The sequence below is a fragment of the Homo sapiens genome, chromosome 9 (assembly GCF_000001405.40).
Source record: "Homo sapiens chromosome 9, GRCh38.p14 Primary Assembly".
NCBI classification, from domain to species: domain Eukaryota; kingdom Metazoa; phylum Chordata; class Mammalia; order Primates; family Hominidae; genus Homo; species Homo sapiens.
This window is the reverse complement of record NC_000009.12, coordinates 121,619,783-121,642,669: the sequence shown is the minus strand read 5'-3', so window position 1 is coordinate 121,642,669 and position 22,887 is coordinate 121,619,783. Positions and strand designations below refer to the sequence as shown.

Here is a 22,887-nt window from a genome sequence, read left to right as displayed (position 1 = left end):
TGCATGAAGGGAGCTGGGCTCAAAGCCCCTGTTCTTTTTTTTTTTTTTTTTTTTAATAGAAAAGAAGCTGTGGTTCCAGCACTTTGGAAGGCCAAGAGAGGAAGATCACTTGAGCCCAGGAGTTTGAGACCAGCCCTGGCAACACAGTGAGACCCTGTCTCTACAAAAAAAAAAAAAAAAAGAAAAAAAAGCCAGGTGTGGTGGCTCACGCCTGTAATTGCAGCACTTTGGGAGGCTGAGGTGGGTGGATCACCTGAGATCAGGAGTTTGAGACCAGCCTGGCCAGCAATGGTGAAATCCCATCTGGAAGCCGACACACGAGAATTGCTTGAGCCCGGGAGGCAGAGGTTGCAGTGAGCTGAGATTGCACGACTGCACTCCAGCCTGGGCGACAGAGTGAGACTCAGTCTCAATAATAATAATTAGCCAGGCATGGTGGTGTGTGCCTGTAGTCCCAGCTACTTGGGAGGATGAGGTGAGAGGATTGCTTGAGCCAGGGAGGTTGAGGCTACAGTGAGCTATGATCGTGTCACTCTACTCCAGCCTGGGCAACAGAGGAAGACCCTGTCAAAAAAAAAGAAAGTGAGAAAGAAAGAAAGAAAGAAAGAAAGAAAGAAAGAAAGAAAGAAAGAAAGAAAGAGAGAGAGAGAGAGAGAGAGAGAGAGAGAGAGAGAAAGGAAAGAAAGAAAGAAAGAAAGAGAGAGAGAGAAAGAAAGAAAGGAAAGAAAGAGAGAAAGAAAGAAAGAAAGAAAGAAAGAAAGAAAGAAAGAAAGAAAGGGAAAGAAATGGACAGAAAGAAAGAAAGAAAAGAAAGAAAGAAAAAGAAAGAAAGAAAAGAAAGAAAGAGGAAGGAAGAAGGAAAGAAGGAAGGTAGGCAGGCAGGCAGGCAGGCAGGCAGGCAGGCTGGCTGTGGGACCAGGAACAAGTGACCTACCTCTTGAGGCCTGGTGTGACACATGGATGGCAGGCTGGAAAGTTTATTTTTGAGTGGCAGCTGAGGATGGTCAGCAGGCCAGGGTGCAAATCCTGACCGTGAAGGAACTGGCACAGAGATTGCACTCGGTGAATGAATGAATGGATGAATAAATGCCTTCACTTTGCTGTGTGCCTTTGAACAAGGCTCCTCTGGCTCACAGCCCCAGCCTCCCCTCCTACAAAATGGGGTTGGCCTGGGTGGGTGTTCAAGGCCATTGGGTATTGACACTCAGAGCCTCTGTGTCCAATCTGGAACATAAATGGGAGCCATAGCTGGTGTTAGAGGAGAGGCAAGCACTGCCAGAGCCACGGTTCTCACATTTACTGGCCTTTCCTGAGGATCCCACCTAGCCCATAGCTAGCATCCTAAGACCAGGTAGGTGGGAATTAAATGGAGCTTCTGCCATCCTCATTCCTCAAATCCCCTTGGGAGTGAGAACAATCCCAGCTCTGCCCCCATCCTGGGAAGAGCATTTTGTCTGGAAATTCTACCAGGAAAACAAGGAAGGGTTGGGCCCCTATAATTTCTGCACCTGCTCAAACAGGAAGTAGCAGAAAGTTTGGGGCCAAGAAAAACAAGTTCAAGGTCATCCTGGATATCAGCATCCCCCATAGCCAAGGAGTCACCCCATCCCAGGAGGAGCTCTCTTGGCAATTAATGATTAACAGACAGATGGGGTATAAAGAGGGGATGGCCCAGGACCCACCCTTTAGCCTGTCACCAAAGGCTTAAGAGGAAGAAAAATTCACCTAGTCTTGTCTAGCATACCTTTGGTGACAGGGAGCTCACTACCAAACCAGCCCCCCATTGCCCTGAGAAAGTATGAAAGTGAAGCTGCCTTCCCACAACTGGGAACTGCAGAAGGCCTCAAGAGATCTAGTGGTCAGCCCACTCTCAAGTCAGAGGTCCAGAGGCTCAGGACTGGCCCCACCCCACGCCGTAGGCCTGCCCACAGGTTCCCAGCAGCAGAGGAAGCTGTAGCAGGCAAAGTAAGGAAGGGCCAGTTGGAGAGTTGGGGCTGGAGTTTAGCCTGTAGCCCAGCCCCTAGTCCCTCCTGACTCTGATGCTGAACTTGGGGAGGGGCTGACCTCTGATTGATCCTCATTTAAAAGCCCAGAGGACATGGTGTGGGGGGAGGTGGGGAGGCCTGAAGTCACCCCAATCCCACTGACAGTCCTAGGGAGGCAGCTTGGGCAACAGATGCCCTCTCCTCTTCCCCTGCAGCCTCTGTCCCGGGAAGCTGTAAGGAAGTTTCACAATGTTCTGGGCCTGCTTTCTCTGATGTCGCATTTCTTGTGTCCTCCTGGTGCTCTCTCTCTCATTGTCGCCCCCCTGACACAGGCTCCCATGCACACACAGGCCCGTCTTCCCACCCAGGCCCACACCTACCTCTCCGGAACAGTGAGCTCTTTCTAGATCCGCACTACCCAGCCCAGGCCCACACAGCAGCGGGGAGCCCTCAGCAGGTGCTGATCTGCGCTGCCCCCTGCTGGGCTATGGAGCCCTAGGATAAAGTACCCCTTGCCCCAGGCATCACCCAGGACTCCCAGGGCTCCTGGGGCGATGCACAGGAAGGACCCCTGAGTGGCATGGCATAGGATTCCAGTCTCCTAAGCAACTTGGGCCAGCCGACCCCATGCCCTCTGGGCCCCTGTTCCCCTGATGCAAGGAAGGGGATGCCCAGAACTTCAGATCTTGGACTTCGAGACATTCCAGTCCCCTGGGATGTGGGTTAAAGTGCAGACACTTGGGCCCACCGGGCAGAGTCTAAGTTAGCCAGTCTGGGGAACAGCCCAGGAGTCTGCATTTTTCATCAGCGGGCAGTGGTCCCACAGGTGATTCCAAAGCAGGTCATCCGTGGGCCGCACTGAGCCTCACTCGCCCACCTGTTGCTCTCTCTCAGGCTTTGAGACCACAGCCCCCAATAAAGACCTGAATCTGCTTTGTCCAAACTGCAGCCTGTTCCTTTTTTTCAGCACCCCATGTGCTGCAGGCAGGGAGGGGTTATAAACCTCATGGTACAGATGGGCAAACTGAGGCCCAAAATGGAGAACACCCAGTTTGAACAGTGCCTGACCCACAGTGAGGCCCCCAGCTTCCACCTCCCTCCGCAGGCTCCCCATGTGGTCTGGATTCTGGGGCCCAGCAGGTCATCTAGGGCCAGGCAGCAGCCGTGACTGGCATTCTTTGTTCTGGTCCCTATGCCCTCTGACCTCAGCAGGTCCTGGGCTGATTAAAATATCCCCTTACAGCTCTGATAGGCATGGTATCCCCTTACAGGGCAGAGAGGGACACGGTCCCATCTGAGGCAATACAGCCAGCTTGCCGCTGTGCTCTGACCACCCTCGGGAGCTGCACACTGCTAGCACAGGGAGATTAGAGGACTTTGGCCTAGAGGGTTTGCAGAGACCTGCTAGAAGAAAGCAAAGCTCAGAGAGGGCAGAGTTGCCCAAGGCCACTCAGTGCATACTTAATCCCAATTCAGTGCTTCCCCTTTGTCAGGCAGTGTCAATTCAGCAAGTCCTTCTAATGACCAAAAGCAGTGAATCCTGTTACTCTCCCATTTTACAGGCACAAGAGTTGATTAGTGGCAGAGACAGGATTCAATCCCACACAGCCTTGACTCTAGTCCTAGCCTAGGATAGTGGTCAGTGGATATGGCCCCAGCCCTACTCCTATCTTCCCTCTTACCACACCCTACTCCTATCCCTTCCCCAACCACCCTGGCCCCCAGCCCTTCACTGCTTCTTTCCTTTGTGTCTTTGCTCCCATGATTCCCACCTCCTAGGATACAGGACATGGGGCTGGCTTTGTAGACTTGGAGCCTGCTCTGTGAAATGGGCTCTTCAGAGCTCCAAATTCCAGCTTGAGGCTGTCCACCTCATCACCTTCATTGACATCTCCCAGAACCAGGGCATCGCCATCTCTACCTTTGGGGACCTCCATCCCCCCGAACTGTCCCCCCAAATCCTCCGCTGCCTCCTCAGTGTGGTTCTCCATAAAACAGCCAGAGTGAAATCTGAAACACAGCCCCTGCCCTAGCTGCCCTGGCCCTGCTGGCCTTTGGCCACTCTTTCTGGCTCACCTTCCCTGCCACAGCTCTCTTGAGCCACCTGGCTGACTCGCATTCACTCTTCCTTTCCAGAAAAACCACCACTCCCCTCTCTCAATTCACCGCCTCCTCCACAGCCCTCCTGCAACACTCTCTCTGAGCTCCCTGCGCCTTTCCTCCAGGGAGCCCACTGCTTTGTGCAGTGCCATACAGGCGTCTCTCGGTATCCCAGGGGTATTGGATCCAGGATACCAAAATCCAATCAGATACCAAAATCCAAGCACGCTCAAGTCCCTGACATTAAAATATAGCATATGCATACCCTCCTGTATACTTTAAATCATCTCTAGAATACTTATAGCTAATACAATGTAAATGCTATGGAGATAGTTGTATTGTTTAGGTAATGATGACAAGAAAAAGTCTGTACATGTTCAGTACAGATGCAATTTTTTTCTATCTTCAATCCTTGGTTGGTTGAATCCACAGATGCAGAACCCATAGATTCGGAGGGCCGACTGCATATTTTTTGATGATTCATCTCACATCTGTCTCTCCTGGCACACTGCTCTCCCTGAGGTCATAACCCAGTGCCCAGCTTGGCATTGTCACACAGCAGCTGCCAATGGGGGGAGGGGGGTGTCACCATTGAGTACATAGGAAGTGTGCACATCAGAGCCCCTCGGACCCCTGGGCCTCGTGCATCATGAACCTGCCAGGCTCACAGCAAAACAGGGCCAAATGCCTTCCGCCCCCACCCCAAACAAGTCACTGCTCAGGACTTCTTAATTTTCCTCCCCACAGGTTGCAGGGCTTCTCATTCTGTGATTTATAGCCCATCATATAAATTCCCCCATTATCTTTCACATGCAGCGCTCGGCCTCTCTGCCATTTAATAATACATTTGACTGGCTGGGCCTCTCCCGGGAGAAATCTAAAGCTTGGCTGCAATTCGGGGGCAGGCAACGCGGAATTCCAAGGGGTCATTTCAGACCCAAACCTTCAGCAGGTCTGAGCCTCCTACTCAGGGGCTAACTGGGCAGGGTCCCAATCCCTCTCCCCTCCCTTCCTCCAACAGAGAGACCATTGGCTGAGACGTCTCAATGTCCACTGGAGCTCTAGTGGCCAGTTTTACAGCAGGGGAGACCCTGCTTCTTCCCCCACCAGACTCAGTGGTTTCAAGGCTCCACAGCCATGATCTCAATCTACCTTTCCAATTCCCCGAGCAAGGCAGGAACCCATCGGAACCGTTTCACGGACGAAGTGGCTTCTCTGAAATATAGGGAGGTTGCCCCAGCCCTGCCCACTCCACGGGTGCTTGCTAGGCTCAGCCAGCAGAGAGTTCAAGGGTATCCTCTGTGCCAGGCACTGCACCCAGTGCTTGACTTGAATTGTCTCATTGCATCCTCACAAAAGCCTTCAGAGGGAAAAGGTGCTATTATGCCCATTTTGCAGATGGGGAAATCAAGCCTCAGAGACACTAAATTTCCCTAGGCTCCTCCAGGAAGCAAATAGCAGCTCCCTGGGGGAAAGTCTTACTGGAATGAAGGATGAGAAGGGGCTGGAGGCTACAGAGAACTCATGGCTTCATGCAGAGCCCTGCATTACAAAACAAAGTGTCCAGAAGGAAAAGAGAGCTCAAGGCTTTAGGATCTGACAGTCCAGGGGATAAATCCTACCCCTGGGGGTTCTCAGCTCTGTGACCTAGGGCAAGTTCCCTAACCTCTCTGGGCCCAAACTCCCCACTCTGTAGAATCTGAATACTATCCTCCCAGAACTGTCACAAGACTTGAATGAGACTGCACTCAGGAAGCTGCCTGGTAAACTGCCCAGTCCTGCACCGTGTCATTTTGGCTTGTTAGAACGGAGGAATCAAGACGTGGTGTAAAGACATGCAAAGACTCCTCCAGGCTGACATGGGACTGGCGGTTCAGAACAATGTGGGGATCTGGGCAGAAGACAGGGCTCCTCCTCAGCCCCATGCACCCACAGGCCAAGCTGCTTACCTCACTCTCGTACCAGCCACCTCCTGCCCAGACTTGGGAGAAACCAGACGGCCCTCCTGCTCCCGAGAGCACAGATCCCAGCGTTGCTCAGCTGGGGAGAGCAGCGAGAACTGGGCGTAGGGGCACTCCAGGCTAGCCCAGGCCAGGCCTCCCGCCTCTCCTCCCACCCAGCCACCAGGTCTGCTTCCCTCCTCCCTCCTGCTCCTGAAAGTTTCTGCTTCCACTTTATAGTTTCCGTGGCAACCACTTCTCTTCCTTTGATTGTTTCCTTCTTCTCAGTCACTTTGCCATCTTATGCTAAAAGGAGAATAAAAGCAGGCCAGAGCAGGAGGTCTGGCCAGGAGGAAGAGGATGGAGAGTGACAGGGCCAGGGGTAGGGGGGTGACCTCTGCAGTGCAGCCCTGGTTCCACCCCCAAAAGACATCTGAGGCTGGGCACCGTGGCTCACGCCTGTAATCCTAGCACTTTGGGAGGCCGAGGCAGGTGGTTTGCCTGAGCTCAGGAACTCGAAACCAGCCTGGGCAACATGGCAAAACCCATCTCTACTAAAAAAAAATACAAAAAATTAGCTGGGCATGGTGGCATGTACCTGTAGTCCCAGCTACTCAAGAGGCTGAGACACGAGAATCACTTGAACCTGGGAGGCAGAGGTTGCAGTGAGCCGAGATCGTGCCACTGCACTCCAGCCTGGGGAGACAGAGCAAGACTCCATCCCCCAGACCCCCCCCCAAAAAAGACATCTAAACAGGGGACTGTCCCTTGGGAAGGTCCTCTGCAGCAGGGTCCCACAAATGTGACTCTCCTGGGCAGACTGCCTGCCAGGCCCTGCAGGGGATGCCCATGGCTGCGTCTTTAAGGCTCTGCGTGGGGCTGGGCCAAAACCCGCTCCCCACTGTCTTGTCTTCACCCAGAGTGCTTTGTGTTTGAATGGCCTCCACCCTCAAGCCCCACCCTCTCTAGCTCTGGATATCCTTTCTTGTCCAAGGCCTCGCTCCCATCTCAGCGCCCCTCCTTCCTGTGGTTGCCCTGGTGCTTCCTAACCTCTCTCTCAGGTGGCCTTCTTCCCTGCAGACAGGCCATGTTGGCAGCAAAGCCAGTGCCTCCTTCACTCCGTTTCCATGCCCAGGCCCTGCACGGGGCTAAGCACACAGTAGGTCCACAGGAGGTGGCCCTGAACCTATGGCCAGAGAGACCAGAGTTCCAGTTTCAGCTCTACCACCAACTAACTGTGAGCCCTTCACAGATTTACTCTAGAACTTGGTGCTCCTGGTGGTAAAATAAGGATGGAATTAACTTCCTCACAAGATGTTGGAGACTGAAATGAGTTTGTGGGGGGTCTGAAAGAGCCTGGAAATTTCTGAAGTGCCCTACCAGGTCCGAGGTTATTTTTAGGCATTGAATTAGTGCTGTCCAATGAACAGCCCCAGGGTCTCCTTGACCCCACACACGGCTCTCTTTCTCCACCTGCTGACCTCCTGAGGCATTGACCGGCCACACGGAGGCCTGGCCTCTCCAGCCCCCTCCACTCCATAGCCACCCTCTGCCAAGCTTCCCCTTCGCACATAGACATACACGCACATGCACACACACATACACACGCACGCGCACACACACACACATATACACAGGTCTGAGGCTGGGTGGGCCGCACTGGCACACAGGGCCCCATGGTATCAGGCATCAAACCTGCCTGGTGTTGGCTGTTCTGGCTGAGGGGGCTGGGGGTGCCTCTGAGGTGCAAGTCAGCAGGGAGCAGCCGAGCCCACGGGGTGAGGGTGGGAGTGGAAGAGCAGCTTCCTCCCAGCCTAGCCACAGGTGGTGGCTGGGGTGGGGGCAGGACCAATGGGGCTGTCCACTGCCTTCTCCTATTGCTATCATCTGCTTCCTTTAGAGGCTAGACCACCAGGGCCAGGGGTCTGGGTAGGCTACCCAGTTACATCTCCCGGAAGTGCTCTCCCCAGAGAAAGGTGCTCCTCTTCCACACTCCCACGAGGGCCTCCCCACTTCCTCTTTGGCGCTGACAGTGAACTCCACCCCCACTGCCCACCCATTCTCAGACCTGCGCGTCACCCCTTCCAAACTGCGCACCGAGGCTGCACCTGCCCAGGCTTGTGCTGGAGTGAGGCTGCTTTCTAGGCACAAGGGGACACCTGGGGCCACAGTGGCTCAGGGTGGGGCTCCTGTGTACACTAAGGGTGGCCATTTCACCCTCCTCCAAAGACCTGCAGGGTTGAAGGACTTTGAGCAGATTCAGAAAAAAACAAAGGCTTGTGAAATGTCAGAACTAAGAGAGTAAAGGCGGGGTCAAGTGTGGCCGGCCGGGGCCTCTGCCTCCTCCATCTCTCCTCTTTCTGGCCCTACTCCTGTCTTAAAAGCACAGGATTCCCATGTTGTCATTGGGAAGCCAGGCCATTCAGCTCCTACCCCGGGGTGCATAGGGGACCCTTCCTAGGAGTTGGCATGTGAAAACCAATGCAAGTCATGGCATGGTCTCTGGAGGACCCTTCAAGAACTGTGTCCCTTTGTGTCCTGAGAGGGCTCTGACACAGTCCCTGTCCTCAGAGAGCTGACAGTCTGGTGGGACACATAGGCTTCCACAGAGAGTCTCGAACAAGGGCCCAAGGCAGAGGGACCACAAGGGAGGAAGTAACTAATTTTGACTGACAGGGCAGGGAGAAATCAAGAAAGGCTTCACAGAGGAGGTGGCATCTGGGCCAAGCCTTTGAATAGGACTCCAAGAGGCTGAGGGTGTTGAGGAAGAGAGCAGCAGCCCCAGACCCATGGCAGAGACCTAACTTGACTTCCCTTATCCAAATGCCATGTACTTAGACTATGGTGAGGGTTTGGGCCTGGAGGATGCTGTCCTGATGTCCCCTTAGCTGAGCCTTAAATCTCCCACAACGGTCCAGAATGAGGCACATCCAGGCCAGCTCCTGTGGCCAAACCCTGGGGCAATGTCTGTCCTGGTCACTGCTGTCTCTGGGCAATGGTCTGAGAGCACCAAGGGGGATAGAGCCTGCCAGGTCTTAAAAGCCTAATGAAAAGAGTCTCCTCGAGTTCCCAGAGCAGCCCATTCCAGGATTTCACACCACCCCACAGTCAGCCAGGAAGTTCTTCCTCCTATCTAACCTACATCTCTCTTGCTGAAACGTACACCCACCTTGCTTTGGAGACACAGGAATAACAAAGCACAGACGCTGAACGGCCTCACCAGGCACTCTGTTTGCAGCAGAGGTGGTTTGGTAGGGGGGGTGGGGTCAGTGGGCAAAGACACAACCCCTGGCTCTGACAAGAGAGAACAAGGCCCTCTTTGTGCACATGATTAATTTATAGGCCTGGGGAGGGTCAAGCGGGAATGTCCTCTCTCTGGGCCTCGAAGGCTTCCCTGACCCAATTTAGAAGCTGCGTTTATTGTATTGTTCATGTCAAACCTTCCCGATGAGGTCTCTATTCCCAGCGTGCTCATGAATTTTTCAGGAGTTTAATAGTGCACAATTTGAGAACAATTTATTAAGAAGATTAAGCCCCCCAAATATGCATCCACATGCTCTACAAAACAGCAAATTTATTCTCCGGCATCAGTGGGCTCCCACTGCCCGGAGCAGCTGGAACCCCTCAGTCTGGGAGAGAGGGAAGCTGAGCAGGGTTGGGGAGCCCCCCGAAAGGGTCTAGGGGAAAGTGCATATGGAATTCCAGGACCCCAAGTATCAGCCCCAGTGTGAGCAGGCCCAGAGGTGAAGCTGCTCCTGCAAAATCCCACGTTCAAAGACCCCACCTTTGTCACACCACCTTGCCCACCGCATTCCTCTTCAGGGAGGCTCCAGCGCTCACTCACAGTGGGACGCTGGTCTAGACACTTCCTGCTCTGAGACTTAGAAACCCAAGTGGAGCTCCCAGTGTCACTCTCTGAGGCCTGTCTCATTCACTGCACCTTCCCGACCCTGGGAACTCCTGGAGGAAAAGAACGGGGTTAGACGGCACCAGGTGTTGGAATGAGATGGAGTTTGTGTTTGACCCTTCCTGGGGGGTGGGAGTCTATGCTGGAGGGGCCAGAGGAGGCCTTGCTAAGGGAAAGCTGGGCAGAGGAGGTGAGGGCAGGGGAGGGGGTGTCCTGGCCCCAGCCCTTAGGGTCAGCAGGGAAGAGAGCACCTGGAGACCTGGTCTGTGCTCAGATACCAGCTGCAGAGACCCGGGCTTTGGTCCTGATCTGAAACTTCAGACTTGGCCGCGTTTGTCCCTGCATCTCCTCCAGTCCACTGGGTCACCAGGACCCATCTGTTTTATCACCGGTAATAAACAACCAGAGCTATGGCGTGTCCAGAGCTTACTCTGTGCCAGGAACTGTGCTGAGCTTTAAATCCCTTGTCACATTTTACGCCCACAGCAACTCTGCGAGACAGGTGCTGCTATCACCGTGCGTCTTAGATGAGCAAATTAATTCGCAAGCGTAACAAACACGCCCGAGGCCACGCAGCTAGTAACCCGCAGAGGCCACAATTCAAACCCAGGCGGTCAGTCCCAGCCCCAGAGGTCTGAGCCTCCTGACCTTCCACCTCATTCCATGGCTGGGACGGCCCCTGTCTCTCCCCACGAGGACCCTGGGCTCAGTTCAGCTCTCCACATTCCCCATCAGATGACTGCAAGGTGTCAACGATGGCCACCCAGCCTCCCGCCCATCCTCTCCCATCGTCTCTCCACACACCAACCAGGGGGTCTGTCCTCAAACCCAAACCTGCCCTGCTCCCTGCTGAAAGCCCTGCCACGGTTCCCTGGGCCAACAGCAGAGTGCAAGCTTCTTTTTTTTTTTTTTTTTTTTTTTTTTAGACGGAGTCTTGCCCTGTAGCCAGGCTGGAGTGCAGTGGCACAATCTCAGCTCACTGCAACCTCCACCTCCCGGGTTCAAGCGATTCTCCTGTCTCAGCCTCCCAAGTAGCTGGGGCTACAGGCACATGCCACCACGCCCAGCTAATTGTTGTATTTTTAGTAGAGACGGGGTTTCACCATTTGGGCCAGGATGGTCTCGATCTCTTGACCTTGTTATCCGCCAGCCTCGGCCTCCCAGAGTTCTGGGATTACAGGTGTGAGCCACCGCGTCGGGCCGCAAGCTTCTTTGCCTTGCATTCAGGACTTCCATTCCCACCTCCCTCTGCTCTCTCCCGTACCCTCCAGTTGAACCCTGCTCCTCCCTGGGCACCACTCATGCCCCAGCCTTCTGGACTCCATTTCTTTGCTTAGTCTGGTCCCTCTCAGCCTGACCTGCTTTCCCCTGTCTCTTACGTCAAAATTTTCAAGGCCCAAATCCAATGCCACCTCCTCCATGAAGCCTTCCCAGGATGGTCAATCAGGTCCCAGTGGTGGAAGTGACTTCTCTCTCCTCCTCTGAACTCCTGACAGTGCAGGGAGCTGTTCAGCTGTCTGTGTGCCTTGCCCCCTCCCGCAACCAGGCCAGGAGCTCCTTGAGGCAAGGTCCTCTCTCACCAGGAGCTGCTGTCCCCCAAAGGCCAGCACAGAGATGGGTACAAAGAGCAGCCTTGCCCAGTGCAGACTTCAGTCCATTTGACAGTCAGACACCTCATCCCTGTCAGCATGGGGTAGCCCCCAGCCTGTGAGGGCCCCTCCCTGGGCCTCAGCAGGAGCCCTTTACCTTTCTTAGATGCCATGGGCCCTTTGGGCTCTAGTAAGGTCTAAGGACCCCCTCTCAGAAAAATGTTTTTAAATACATAAAACAGGCCGGGCATGGTGGCTCATGCCTGTAATCCCAGCACTTTGGGAGGCCAAGCCGAGTGGATTGCCCAATGTCAGGAGTTCGAGACCAGCCTGGCCAACATGGTGAAACCCTGTCTCTACTAAAAATACCAAAATTAGCTGGGTGTAGTGGTGCACACCTGTAATCCCAGCGACTCGGGAGGCTGAGGCAGGAGAATTGCTTGAACCCGGGAGGCGGAGGTTGCAGTGAGCCAAGATTGCATCACTGCACTCCAGCCTGGGCAACAGAGCAAGACTCCATTCAAAAATATATATAAAAATTAAAAATTAATAAATAAAAATACAAAAATTAGCCGGGTGTGGTGGCGCATGCCTGGTTATCAAAAAAAAAAAAAATTTTTTTATGAGATGGAGTCTTGCTCTGTTGACCAGGCTGGAGTGCAGTGGCACAGTCTTGGCTCACTACAACCTCTACCTCCCAGGCTCAAGCAATTCTCCTGCCTCAGCCTCCCAAGTAGCTGGGCTTACAGGCACCTGCCACCATGCCTGGCTAATTTTTTGTGTTTTTAGTAGAGACAGGGTTTCACCATGTTGGCCATGCTGGTCTCAAACTCCTGACCTTGTGATCTGCCTGCCTCCACCTCCCGAAATATTTTTAATGCTATAGCAATATATGTGCTTCTTTATTAATGCCTTAGAGAACAAGATCTGGGGCTAATAACTATTGTAATTTTGAAGTACGGTGAACAAAAATGTTATTTTAGGATACCCATGACAACTGGGTATCTCATGTCCTATTATCAGGTCCACAATAATAGGACATGAGAATTTCTGCAATTCCTATGATTTCTGCAACATCATAGAATGGCTAATGCCACTGTGGTTGATCATCTACATTTATAATTGCAGGAATTACCATTTGTAATTCTAATTAATGGTTCTTGAAAATAACAGTGGGATTCTTTTTTTCCTATTCCAGTTCTTGGACACTCTGGAGTCCATCCTGAGACTCACTGGGTCCCGGAAGCCCTGGTTAAGAAGCCCTGGCTGAGAGGCGGGGGTTTGAGGGAAAAGAGGAGGATTTGTCTCAGAACCCAAATTCTGGCCTCTAGCTGGCTGCCGAGGCCCTGACCTTCTCCAGTCCTGCATCTCCACCCACCTGCCTCAGTCACATCACAGAGGAACCCAGCCTGTGCCCACAGCCTGGTTGTCCCAGCTTATCTGAAGCCCCTCAGTGGGGTGAGCTTAGCAGAAGCCTCCAGGGAATGACTCCCTGGAGCCAGAGTGCCCCAGACAGCCCAGCTCGGGGCTTCAGGGGCCCTGGCCGCCTCCCAGGCACTTATTTTATGTTCAGAAAGAGCAAAGCTGACAGGTAATAAATGGATGAGGAGGACTGGAGTGGGCTCTGACTGTCTGCCCGGCGCCTGCCCGGCCAGCCCGCCATACCCACCACCACCCTCTCAGGGGGATGAGAGCACCATTAATTACCCAGGAAGAAAGGGCGCCATGAGGACACACCCAATGCTGCTTGGGGACATCATCTATGGTGGCATTTTCTGAGAGAAGCACCAAGCCTGAAGCTTGGCTGTCACCCCCACCACCCTCTGCCATCAGCCGGCCAGGCTTTCCTTCTCCCCAGGTACTCCAGGGCGCCTTCCAACTTGGGTCATGCCCTCAAAGCCTCTTCACCTGTCCAATGTCCCTGAGGGACTGCTTTTTGCAGGTAGGGCCCCGAGGTGGGCCCCTGGGGTGGGACCCAAGAGCGAAAGGGAATCTATCGCATCATTTCTGTCGCCTTCACCAGCACCTTGGGTCCATCACTGAGTCTGGGGGGTTCTACTAGGCAAGTGTCTCTGGCCTCACCCAGACACCATGGCCAACTCTAGCCATCACTCCAGGCGCAAGTGATTGGGTTACCTTCAGGTGTGACCACACCTGTCACCTTTTGCAGGTCGGTGCCAACAGTTCTCCAAACAGGAGCTCAAGCCACCGTCCCACTTGCCCTGTGAAGAAGGAACTGTTATCATCACATTTTACAGACCAGGTAACTGAGGCTCAGAGAGGGTAAGTGACTGGCACAGCTGGTAACAACAGAGTCAGGGTTTGAGCCCAGTCTGTCCAGTTCCAAATCTCCCCTTTAGTAGCTTTCTGGACATCAAGTGGTCATCCTGCAACCACAGGTAGCCAAAGAGCCTCTCTAAAGAAGGTTTGCCAGGCCCTCTGCATGCCCCGCTTTCCCTCCCCTGCCCCTGCCGAGGGGATGCCTTGGAGCCCAGAGACACTGCCTCTTCATTCTAAAACTCCCACTGGGCCCAGTCCCACCTCTTCCGGGAAGCCTTCCCTGATTGCCCACACTCTGCAGATTCAAAAGTCTTCCAGTGCCTCCCACCCTTAGCAGAAGCTGTCAGCAGTGGCCACCAGCAGCCCCTAAGTTCTTTCCTTATCACCTCCAACCACCACACCCATAGCCAGGACCAGGTGCCCTACAGGGTCTCTTTTAAACCTGGAGGAAGATCTCGCTAGAAGATAAATGGGTGATCCCATGGCTTGTGCCAATCTTCCACCCAGAGGCAGAGTCTGTTCACACCTGGGCAGGGGGGCATCTGCCTCAGGATCACTAGGATGGGGGGGGCCCACCTAATCCAGTCTGCTAGGATGACTAAGGGGGGCTAGGAATCACATCACAGCCACTCTCTGAGCTAGGAGAAGCCCTGAGCCAGCATCTCCACTCAGCTCCAGGAACAAAGTCAGCAGATTCACTGCACCCACATGGAGCTTGAGAAAACTCAGAGAAGTGCCAGGCCCAAGCCCAAGGCCAAGGCAAGAACCACAACCTCTGCTCCAGGTGCATGGCAGGAATAACAGCAGTGTCGTTCTTAGCAATGACCACTTTCCTAATAAATGTGCTTCCTGCAGACAGAGGGATGCTGGCACCCAAGCCTGACGAGACCCACAAAGGATGTTCCCTGAAGCAGAACCCCCACGGAGGGGTGGCTAAGTCAATCTCACACTGCAGAAAGTTCTACGCAGCAGATAGAAACAGTGAGGTGGAATTCTACAGCTGAACTAGAAAAATGTGTCCAAATATCTTACTGAACGAAAGAAGCAAGTTGCAGAACGATACATGACTTTAAAAAAGAAATTTAAACAGAATCATATTATTCTATGGATATATACATGTGCATGAAAGTGCAAGGCAGCACTGAGAAAAATGCCCTCCAAATGCCTCCCACGCATTGGCTAGACTCTGCTGCCAGGGGCCCACCCCAACTCTGCCCCAGCCCTAGCCCAGCCCCGCTCTTCATACACAGGAAGATCATGACCCACCGACTCTCACATCCTGCTGCCAGGAGAGTACACAGCCACAGTCTTTGCAGAGAGTGAGTAGGCAACATGGATCAAAAGTTAAAAATCCATAAACGTCCATTTTAAATTCATAGATTCTCCTTCTACATGCTATCCTTCAGATAAACTCTCACAAGCGTGTAAGAACAGATGTACAAGGATGTTTATGCACTCCGGTTTGAAGCAGCATACAAAAAAAAAAAAAGCACCAAAACTGTAAACAACGTCTGTGTCCATCACAGGGGGCCTGGTTGAATAAATTATAGTCTCTCCTGAAAATGGAATCCTGTGTGACCGTTCTGCAGCGCGAGGTGGAAATGTGTATACCGACACCGTGGACTTCGAGGTGAAGATGCATCGGATACTTCAGGATATGTGGGATGATCTCCTGGGTGGATAGATTCTTACATATGCTTGTGTGTGTGTGTGTGTGTGTGTGTGTGAGTGTGTGTGTGTGTGTGTGTTGAGTAGGGGTGAAGAAAAAAGGCTTAGTTTTCAGTCTATAATATTTGATTTTATTTTTAATAAACAAAATCATGACATGCCATTTTTATAGACTAAGAAGCAGATTTTGGTGCAGGATGTTGATGGTGGGGGAGGCTGTGCTTGTGTGAGCACAGAGAGTAGATGGGATCTCGTACTTTCTGCTCAATTTTGCTGTGAACCTAAAACTGATCTAAAAAATAAAGGCTATTTTTTAAAAAATAGATTAAAAGTCTTTAGAAATTCAAAACACAAGAGAACCTTTTCCTCCAAAGTCAGTGCTTCTCCAGGTTGAATCTTCCTGTGCCTTCGTCATTCTTGAGCAAGAGCCACTCTCCGAAAGCTCAAACCAGGGGGTGCTGTCAAGGTTTCTCTTCTGGCTGGGCGCGGTGGCTCACACCTGTAATCCCAGCACTTTGGGAGGCTGAGGCAGGCGGATCACCTGAGATCAGGAGTTTGAGACCAGCCTAGCCAACATGGTGAAACCCTGTCTCTACTAAAACTATAAAAATTAGCTGGGCATGGTGGCAGATGCCTGTAATCCCAGCTACTCGGGAGGCTGAGGCAAGAGAATCACTTGAACCCGGGAGGTGGAGGTTGCAGTGAGCCAAGATCGCACCACTGAACTCCAGCCTGGTCAATAGAGCAAAACTCCATCTCAAAAAAAAAAAAAAAAAGGTTTCTCGTCTGAAGTTTGGTCTACACTATCTCGTCTGCCCAGAGTGCCTCACATCTTCATTTTTACCAACACAAATATCCTGCTCCATGAAAGCCCATTTTGGATGCCCTCACCCCCGGAAACACAGGCTCTCTGAGGACAGTCTGTGTCCTGAATATATCTCTGCAGCCTCCAGGGATGCCCAGTGCCAGGCACAAGGCAAGAGCTCATTAAACGTGTGCCAAGTCACTGGATGCCCTCCTCTGAACACATTAACATTTCTGAAAGCCCCAAGCACTGTCTAGACATCTCTCTGGGGCCACTCATCTTGCCTTGAATCATAATTCTGCCTGCCCTTCTTAGTAGGGAGCTCCTCAGAGGGGGCTCCCAGGGCCCATACCCCACGTGTGCCCCAGCCCTGTAGCCCACTTGGCTCAGGAATCACAAACGCAAATGCCAATGTGAGCCAGGAGGGAAAGGAAAGGAGAGAAGCAGGCTTGGCCAGGCAGGCTAAATGGGGAACACACTCCAGCCCACACTGTCCTATTGGAATGTGGGCCCACGATGGCCGGAAGATCAAGTTTACAAGAAGCTACCAGATTTGGATGTAAAATCCTGATCGTTCAATGGAGACAACTAGATCACATATTAAAATAAACACACACCATACAGGTCACAGCAAATAGGGCTGAAGGCCAGACTGGCCCAGACTCCCTGCCTGTGGTGCCCCAGGAAGCAACAGTTCAGAACTGGCATCATTGGGAAAAAAAAAAAAAAAGCAGAAAGCCCTCCTGATCCTGCCATCCCATCAGCCCAAACTCCAAAACCTACTCACTGCAACCCAAACCTCACTGCCAAAGGGAGATTCAAAGCCCAGCCATTGGCCAGGCGTGGTGGCTCACGCCTATAATCCCAGCACTCTGGGAGGCCGGGGCAGGCAGATCACCTGAGGTCCGAAGTTTGAGACCAGCCTGGCTAACATAGCAAAATCCTGTCTCTACTAAAAAGGTAAAAATTAAAATTTAAAAAAAAAAAGAGTTCACCAGGTATGATGGTGCGCACCTGTAGTCTCAGCTACTCGGGGGCTGAGGCGCAAGAATCGCTTAAACCCAGGAGGCAGAGGCTTCAGTGAGCCAAGATCACACCACTGCACTCCAGCCTGGGCGACAAGAGTGACTCTGTCTCAAAAAAAAAAAAAAAAAGCCCAGCCACTTTGGTAGCATCTATGTTGGCACTGCAGCTCCCAGCTGTGTGACAGGGGTGAATGACTTCACCTCTCTGAGCCTCTCTCTCTGAGCCTCTACTTCCTCCTCTGTAAAATATGGGGAAAAACAATAACTTCCTATGGATGTTATGTGGACACGTCACAGAGGGGCTGACTGCCAAAGCAGGGCCCCTCCCTCCCCATCTCAGCCCCTCATCCATGCCCTGGACGGGGCAGGCAGTGCGAGTGCTTAGCCTCCGAGATCCCGGCCCAGGAAGGCCTGTTTATAGCAGCGTGCTCTTCTCGCAGCCCCCTAAATCCCCACAACAGAAATGAATACTTATTGAGACTTACGTTCCTGGCACTGTGTTAAATGCTTCATGTACGTTCCTGTCTTTTAACTTTCTCAGTAATTCCAGAAGGTAGGTACAGTTGTGTGTTACATAATGATGGAGATATGTCCTGAGAAATGCATCATTAGGCGATTTTGTTGTTGTGTGAACATCATAGAGTACACTTGCACAAACCTAGATGGTGTAGCCTACTGCACGCCTAGGCTAGATGGTGGGTAGCCTGCTGCTCCCAGGATACAAGCCTGTACAGCATGTTACTGTACTGAATACTGTAGGCAATTGCAATACAATTGTAAATATTCATGTATGTAAACACAGAAAAATACAGTAAAAATATGGTGTTAAATCTTAAGGACCTTATTGGTCTGTCCTTGACCGAAATATCATTATGTGGCACATGACTGTATTTTTACCTCCCCATCTTACAGATGAGCAAACTGAGCCTCAGAGAAGTGATCTGACTTGTCCAAGGCTGGTTTGTAAGTGGCATGGTCTGGATTTGGCCGTAGGCTATTTCAGCAATCTCAGCCACCACTCCACCCTGCTCCTCAGGTGCATGCCTTCCTCCTTGCCACGAACCTCTGTGACTCCTACAAGCTGCCAGGTGTTAACCTGGTCAGTCCTGGGGACACCAGGAACAACACCAGCTCCTGCCTCTGGGCAGCCCCGCTGGGTCCGTGGCACAGACAACCATAGACTCTGCCTGGAAAAGCTGCTTCATGGAGAAGGTGACACCTGAGCCAGGGCCAACAGGTGCACAGGTAGGTAGTGAGATGGTGGCACTAGGAGAGGAGTGAATCTAAGGTACCTCCAAGTCTTGGGGCTGAGGGGTGGGAACTGCGGTCCAGACAGAACCAACTGGGCTGGGCCCAAGGCAGGTGAGAGAACAAATGGATGGTTTCTCTCATTAGAAAATGTACAAACATGGAGGCAAAGGAAGGAGAGAAGCAGCTTACAGATGTGAAGTAAACTCAAAACCTTAACCCGCCTGGTCAATATGGCAAAACCCCATCTCTACTAAAAATACAAAAATTAGCCAGGCATGGTGGCATGTGCCTGTAATCCCAGCTACTAAGGATGCTGAGACAGGAGAATCACTTGGACCCAGGAGGCGGAGGTGGCAATGAGCTGAGATCACACCACTGCACTCCAACCTGGGCAATAGAGCAAGACTCCATCTCAAAAACAAAACAAAACAAAACAAAACAACCTTAACCCTGGCCAGGCATGGTGGTTCATGCTTGTAATCCCAGCACTTTGAGAGGCCAGGTGGGTGGACCGCTTGAGGCCCAGCAGTTCAAGACCAGCCTGGGCAACATAGCCAGACCCCCATCTCTACAAAAAATACCAAAATTAGTCAGGTGTGGTGGTGCATGCTTGTAGTCCCAGCTACTCTGGAGGCTGAGGTGGGAGGATCACTTGAACCCAGGAGGTCAAGGCTGCAGTGAGCAGTGAACATACCATTGCACTCCAGCCTGGGCAAAAGGGCAAGACCCTATTCCCCCCACCAAAAGAACAACAACAACAACAAAACTGAACTCTTAAACCTGAAAGCTTAAAACCCACCCTTGGGGTTGCCCTGCCTCAAAGAGGAGGCCTCTCAAGCTAGGTAAAGTCCCCACTGGCCCTGCACCACCCCTGGATGTTAAATCTGGTGGGGCTGCCACCTGGGTCTAGGGTAGGGACTGGCCATGCCGTGTCACAGCGAGGACCCCGGCTTGGCAATCTGGGGCTGACCTCAGGCATGTCAAGCCAATGTCATCTGCAAAACTGAGGTGAGAAAGAGAGCAAAATTGCTCTCTTAAGTAAGCATCTCACTTGCTTAAGAGAGATGGCGCAAGGCTCAGACTCGGCAGATAGGACCCAGGGTGCCCCACGTGCACACCCCCAGGCACCCACATGCTCATTCTCAGGAATGCCTCTGCCCTTGACTCTTAAGGCTGTGAGCATTAAACAAGGGAATCAAAGTAAGTCAAAGCCCAGTGGCCCTGGCAATGGCACTATTCCCATCCCCCTTGCCCATATACCCCACAGTACTTGTCACTGTCTTGGCCAAACCTGCCCCAAGCTGGCTGTGAAATAATCTCCTCCAAGGGATCAAGTGACCATTTGCTCTCCTCCCTCCTGGGGGCAGGGGGTGGGGTGGTGGTGGTATTTTTCAGCTATTAACAATTGACATCTGTTAATTATTAGTTTGTGTACTTCTGTTTTGCTTTCACCCACACCATTGCTCAATCCACCCGGCAGCCCCAGCCCTGAGAAGTGGAAATCTTACCTCCCGAGAGAGAGACAGGAAAGCAGAGCCCCGACACGAGGGCAGTGGAGGGCTCCCGGCCATGGAGCCCAGCGTATCTGACAAAACCCACGTAACCTTCGAGACAGTGAGTCACAAGGAATAGAATTCTGCCCTGTGTCAGGTATTGGAGGTCCCCATCCTGGCCTCCTCAAAGCACACACTTCTGGAGGCAGCCATCTTGCCCCTGAGAGGCAGTTTTCCTAGAAGGCAAGATCCCCCTCTTGTAGACCCCAGAGATTCCCAGACTGCAAAAAGTATTGCTTCTATGGAAGGAGCCAAGGGGAGGGTAAGAAACACAAACGGGGCCGGGTGCGGTGGCTCACGCCTGTAATCCCAAAGCTTTGGCAGGCCGAGGCAGGCAGATCACAAGGTCAGGAAATCGAGACCATCGTGGCCAACACGGTGAAACTCCATCTCTGCTAAAAATACAAAAAATTAGCCGAGCGTGGTGGCACACGCCTGTAGTCCCAGCTACTCAGGAGGCTGAGGCAGGAGAATCGCTTGAGCCCAGGAGGCAGAGGTTGCAGTGAGCTGAGATCGCGCCACTGCACTCCAGCCTGGGCGACAGAGCGAGACTCCATCTCAAAAAAAAAAAAAAAAAAAAAAGAAAGAAAAAAGAAAAAGAAACACAAACAGGGTCAGGCATGGTGGCTCACATCTGTAATCCCAACACTTTGGGAGGCCAAGGCAGGCAGATCACTTGAGGTCAGGAGTTCGAGACCAGCCTGGCCAATATGGTGAAACCCCATGTCTACTAAAAATACGAAAAAAAAAAAATTAGCCAGGTGTGGTGGCATGCTCTTATAATCCCACCTACTTGGGAGGCGGAGGCAGGAGAATTGCTTGAAAAATGCTTGAACCTGGGAGGTGGAGGTTGCAGTGAGCCAAGATTGTGTCATTGCACTCCAGCCTGGGTAACGGAATGAGACTGGTCTCAAAAAAAAAAAAAAAAAAGGAAAAAAAGAAATACAAACAGCCATGATATTCTGATGGGAGACAGGGGACTGGACTGCACGAGGACTTACATCCCTTGCAGGCTTTGTGAATGTGATCAGATCCACAGGCAGGCACCGGGCTGAGGGGAAGGCACACCAGGCAGGGGAACTTTGAGAAACACAGGCAAGGCAGTCTAACAGGTAGAGGCCATGGAGTGGGTTGTTCAGTCAGCTGAGCTCCTGAGCACATAGGAAGGAACTGTTGGCAAGGAGGATCCTACTGGAATTTGGAAGAAGGGCCCTGAAAACCGAGCTGAGAAGTCTGGATTATATCTCAGGGAAAATAGGGAGTCCCTCAAGCAGGGACTTGATTATACCTTGAGCAAGGGAGGGACCCCTCAGACCAAGGTCCAGGGACTCCCCCTGGAGGCAGCATGGAGAAAACAGGAAGCTGCACCAGAAGGGGCTGTGGCTGGGCTGTCCCCTAATGGGCAGTGAGGGCAGGGATGGGGTGCAGGAGATGGTGCCCAAGGGGAACCACCAGACTTGCAGGTAGGAAAAAGGGAAGGGAAGGAAGGAAACACCTGGGTGTGGTTCCCTGTCCCAGGGGCTGGCCAGTGCGGTCTTCCCCTCAAAGAGGAAAGTTGGGACCTGGGGGAGCAGGTGAATGCGAGAGAGGAAGTGGTTGTTAGGAGAAAGGAAGGGCCTTTCATGTTGGATTGGTTGATGTGCTTTTAGAGCAGCCAGTGAAAAGCACTTCTCTCCATCTGAGCTCAGGGGAGGTTTACAGTCTGTGTTGGGAGTAGCCCAGGTTCAGGGGTTGTTAATGCCCTGGGCATGGGTGGGGCTCCCAGGTGAGAGCTGGTAGGTGAGGAGGGTACCCGGGTTAGGACCTCAGAGGGTCAAGCGGTGTCAACAGAGAAGTCTCAATAGAGAAACATCTGAGCCACCGGAAGAGCACAGTGTCTGGGAAGGCAAGAGAGGGCAGCTGGAGGGGCAGGACCCCCCCAGGGTGGCTGGCCAAGGCCCCAAGCAATAACATAATATCAAAGTTTACATATATTGAGCTCCTTTTATAAGCCAGGCCTTTAACCAGGGACCTGATATGTATTAGCTACCTCACTGATACTTCCAAGAACCTACTGGGGTTAGCACTGTTATCCCATTTTACAGATGGGAATGTCAGCAAAGAGCAGCTCAGTTACTCAGCAGGTCAAGCCTCATTCTAAACCCATTCAGACTCCAGAGCTCACACACACCTTTAACCACTGCAAGTGGAGCAGGGGGATGGTCGGCGTTTGTGGACCGGTCAGTGGCTGGCATTTTCAGTGTGGAAGGAGCTGCTAGAAGCCAGAAAGTAAACAGGTGGAAGCAAACAGCCACACCTCCAGCTGGGAAGGGTGGGAGGGCAGGGGTGCCTGGCCAGGGCTCCAGCAACTTCCTCCAGCAGCTGGCCCAGGCAGCAGGAGTCGGAGCCGCCCATTTGAGCGGCTGGATCCGGAAGGCTGCAGCAGGGGGTCAGAGCCGGGAAGGACCTTTAGTTCTTGTTCTGCCTTCAGGATCCAAACTTGGAGAACAATGACCACTAAAAGTGATTTGATGATGACAATTTTTGACTGTTGCTAAGTTTAGCACTCTGGGTGGGGCAGGCACCACGTCTTATAATGCACATACTCTGGCTTCCACCACCAACCCAATGTTGTATCCCAGTTTAACTCCACCCAAATAGGGGTTCTCTTCTTAGGGCCTTGTCATGGGAGAAAAAACAAAGAATAACTTCCTACCTAAGGAGGCCTTAGCGATGAATGAGATCCCTATTTAGTATCCCATTAGTACCTAATACCTAAGCTATTAATAGAAACGGCAATGCTTA

At 52.4% G+C, this 22,887-nt stretch overlaps 1 protein-coding gene across 1 annotated transcript in view, besides 3 other annotated features; it reads right to left on the bottom strand.

The window, feature by feature from the left end:
• The window catches only part of DAB2IP (DAB2 interacting protein), a 218,457-nt gene that overhangs the window by 142,861 nt on the left and 52,709 nt on the right, over positions 1–22,887 (bottom strand). The gene's annotated exons all lie outside the window — the stretch shown is intronic.
• Positions 7,444–7,513: an enhancer, noted in NCBI's record as "active region_28924". NCBI's record gives its function as "activates an Ori minimal core promoter by ATAC-STARR-seq in GM12878 lymphoblastoid cells {active_cell/tissue: GM12878}" and the evidence as "EXISTENCE:reporter gene assay evidence [ECO:0000049][PMID:35858748]".
• Positions 7,640–8,302: an enhancer, noted in NCBI's record as "H3K4me1 hESC enhancer chr9:124396647-124397309 (GRCh37/hg19 assembly coordinates)". NCBI's record gives its function as "activates a minimal SCP1, AML or CMV promoter by ChIP-STARR-seq in primed H9 embryonic stem cells {active_cell/tissue: H9 hESC(primed)}" and the evidence as "EXISTENCE:reporter gene assay evidence [ECO:0000049][PMID:30033119]".
• Positions 10,404–11,152: an enhancer, noted in NCBI's record as "H3K4me1 hESC enhancer chr9:124393797-124394545 (GRCh37/hg19 assembly coordinates)". NCBI's record gives its function as "activates a minimal SCP1, AML or CMV promoter by ChIP-STARR-seq in naive H9 embryonic stem cells {active_cell/tissue: H9 hESC(naive)}" and the evidence as "EXISTENCE:reporter gene assay evidence [ECO:0000049][PMID:30033119]".